Below are 3792 nucleotides of genomic sequence, written 5' to 3'. Positions count from 1 at the left end.
CCACACTTACCTTCATTTCCCTGCGTTGGAGGCAGAGTACTGATCAAGACCACTGAGTTTTCCACAACCCAACCCATCACTTAGGATACCTGAATGCTTCTGGTTAACAAAGGTCAAGCATAAAGCCCACTGCCAGCGCTACAACTGGCTCTCACCAGCAATTGCCACCTACTGGCCTGGAGGTCAAACCATACAGCACATTACAACGTCTCCTGAAACAAGTGACAGTGATTGGGGAAGAGACAAGTTTCACACAAACTCTGCCACCACCATTGCCCACGCCACCCCAGCTACACCTCTCCTTTGCAGAACCGCTTGAGGAAAGGCTAAACCTTTCTGCAAAGGAGAGGTGTCTAATTCCAGTGCTCGGGGTCTGGAGCCCATGCCACACTTGCCCCTCAGTTCTGTCTGTGGGGACCTGTCCCCTACTTGAGACCAGATTGCCAAGGAGGAGGCCTTAAGTTAACTTGCCTGCTCTGTCACCTACCTGAGCCTGGGAAGGTTGAGGCTGCAGTGATCCAAGATCGTGCCACTGCACTCCACCCTGGGTGACAAAGTGAGACCCTGTCTCAAAAAACAAAAACAAAAAAACTGCTCTGACCTTTTCAAAAGTATCAAGGTCAAGAACAAAGATAAACAAAGGCACCACGCAGTGGAGTAAGAGCCTGTCTATTGCCTATTGCTCTCAAGCGCCATCTACTGGATTACAGCCACACTACAACACCAAAAATCACTTTACTAAATTCTACCGCCTGGAAAACCAAGAGCAAGAATTCAGCAAAGACCCTGTACAGAGCCTTAGTCCCCTGAAAACTTCCAGAAATAAAGCCAACAGACTATACTCAATTTATACCCTTGCAATGAAAGGAATAGCAACCCTCCCAGATGAGAAAAAAAATCAGGGAAATAACTCCTATTATCTCCAAACCAGTCCACGAGCTCCCCAGAAATTGTTCTTAATCAGTATGAATTGTCTGAAATGACAAACGTAGAATTTGGAATCTGGATGGCAAGGAAGGTCATTCAAATCAAGAGCAAAGTTGAAATTCAATCCAAGGAAGCCAAGCAATCCAGTAAAATGATTAATGACATGAACGATTAAATTTTAAGAAACACCCAAACTGAACTTCTCGAGCTGAAAAATTCATGACACGAATTTCATAATACGATGAGAAGCATTAACAGCAGAATAGACCAAGCTGAGGAAAAGAATTTCAAAGCTTGAAGACTTGTTTGAATCAAATCAGTCAAATATAAGGAAAAAATATTTTTAAAAGTGAACAAAATCTCTGAGAAATATGATATTATCTAAAGACACCAAATGTATGACTTGTCAGCATTCCTGAAAGGGGAAGAGAGAATAAGCAACTTGGAAAATATATTTGAGGATATAGTCCATGAATATTTTCCTAAACTCGCTAGAGAGTTTGACACACAAATCCAAGAAACATAGAGACGCCCAGCCAGATAACGGTCTAGATTTGAGGGTATGGTGAAAAAGATGCTTAGAAAATGTCAGAAGTGAGACACAATGGCTCATTTGCTTGTGTCTTGCATTCTCCACCTTGCAATTCTGTACTGATGGCTGTACTATCAGCAGGATCCACTCGTTATTATATTCACTATCAACCTTCAGCCTAAGGGTTTTGGCAGCCATTGATGTTTATTGCTTGTATACTCAACGCACAGGTTATCCAAGCTTTGCAGGGTTAACTATTATTATGCAAAAACTCTACAGCTATTCTTAGGCAAAAACATTACTATAGCTATTACTATACTTATTATTATGTAGAAACATTCTACAGAAAAGAATGTTTCCTGTGTAACACTTCAGATAAACAAAAGAGATCTTGCTTCTTGCCTTCATTTCCACGTTTTTGATGTGGAGATTTTGTTCTTTTCCCATTCCTCATATTTGAGGGGTTTTTTGTTTTTTAATTTTGTTTTTAACAGTAGTAAACTGATAGGCTTTGAACATATTCATTAGTTTTAATACACTACCTATATTATTTGATTCTATAAATATTCCACATTTTGCCATTGGGAACTTTTCATGATAGACTTTATGTTCAGGTAACATGAATCTGATGGTATGTGGTGATGTCTTTGCTTTCTTGCATGATAAGAAGTTCTGACTTCATCTCCTGTATTTTCTCTCCGAATGTGGAGTCAGCTATTTCTCTAGGATGAAATTTAGAATTTTTGACCATACATATTTTAAGAATTAAACATTTTTGAGGGTGTATTCACTTATGTTTTACTATATATAGTCAAAATTATATAATAATATTAACTATATGTCACTACATAATATATAATTTGATTTAAAAGTATACATTTATTATATAATATGATAAATAATATATGCATTATAAAATATATGGTCAAGTAATTTTGCTTACATTCTAGTACAAATAATTCTTCCTTGTTTAGTAATGCCCTAATTTGATAGGAACTCAATTCTATTTCCTTTTTTAAGGTATTATCTTTAGATTTATAAGTTATATTTAAAAATATTTTATAGTATAGACATTCAGGAATATGTTTATATATGTATATATATATATTTTTAAACGGAGTCTTGCTCGTCGCCCAGGCTAGAATGCTGTGGGTGGCAAGCCACCCAGGTGCCGAGGCAAGAGACAGAGGACACGAGCTGTTCCAGTATAATAAAATATAAAACAAGAATAGTTATACCAGATATAGATCTTAGTTATGATTATATATGAATATCATTAATCATTTGTTTGTAGCAGTTACCCTTTATCCCAATATTATAATAATCCTCCCTCTGTAATCATAACCTAGGAAAAGCCAGGCCATACAGAGATAGGAGCTGAGGGGACACAGTGAGAAGTGACCAGAAGACAAGAGTGCGAGCCCTCTGTCATGCCCGGACAGGGCCACCAGAGGGCTCCTTGGTCTAGCGGTGACGCCAGCGTCTGGGAAGACGTCCGTTGCCAAGCGGACCGTGGTCTAGCGGTAGCGTAAGTGGCAAGGAACAACACCCGCTACTTAGCAGACTGGGGAAGGGAGTCTCCCTTTCCCCGGGGGAGTTTAGAGAAGACTCTGCTCCTCCACCTCTTGTGGAGGGCCTGACATCAGTCAGGCTCGCCCGCAGTTATCCGGAGGCCTAACCGTCTCCCTGTGATGCTGTGCTTCGGTGGTCACGCTCCTAGTCCGCCTTCATGTTCCATCCTGTACACCTGGCTCTGCCTTCTAGATAGCAGTAGTAAATTAGTGAAAGTACTAATAGTCCCTGATATGCAGAAATAATGGCGTAAGCTGTCTTTCTCTCTGTCTCCTCTCCCTCTCTGCCTCGGCTGCCAGGCAGGGAAGGGCCCCCTGTCCAGTGGACACGTGACCCACGTGACCTTACCTATCATTGGAGGTGACTCACACTCTTTACCCTGCCCCTTCTGCCTTGTATCCAATAAATAACAGCGCAGCCCAACATTCGGGGCCACTACCGGTCTCCGCGCATTGGTGGTAGTGGTCCCCCGGGCGCAGCTGCCTTTTCTTTTATCTCTTTGTCTTGTGTCTTTATTTCTACACTCTATCGTCACCACACACAGGGAGAGACCCACCGACCCTGTGGGGCTGGTCCCTACAAATGCAGTGGCACAGTCTCAGCTCACTGCAATCTCCACCTCCCAGGTTCAAGCAATTCTCCTGTCAGAGCCTCCCGAGTAGCTGGGATGACAGGAGTGTGCCACCATGCCCAGCTAATCTTTTTATTTTCAGTAGAGGTGGGGTTTCACCATGTTGGCCAGGCTGGTCTTGAACTCCTGA

The 3792-nt window shown here is 41.9% G+C and overlaps 1 annotated feature.

The window, feature by feature from the left end:
- Positions 523 to 817: a silencer, noted in NCBI's record as "tiled region #7396; HepG2 Repressive non-DNase unmatched - State 13:Ctcf". NCBI's record gives its function as "represses a minimal TATA promoter and a strong SV40 promoter by Sharpr-MPRA in HepG2 cells {active_cell/tissue: HepG2}" and the evidence as "EXISTENCE:reporter gene assay evidence [ECO:0000049][PMID:27701403]".

Source organism: Homo sapiens, chromosome 19 (genome assembly GCF_000001405.40).
Source record: "Homo sapiens chromosome 19, GRCh38.p14 Primary Assembly".
NCBI lineage: Eukaryota > Metazoa > Chordata > Mammalia > Primates > Hominidae > Homo > Homo sapiens.
This window is presented reverse-complemented; position numbering and strand designations above follow the sequence as displayed.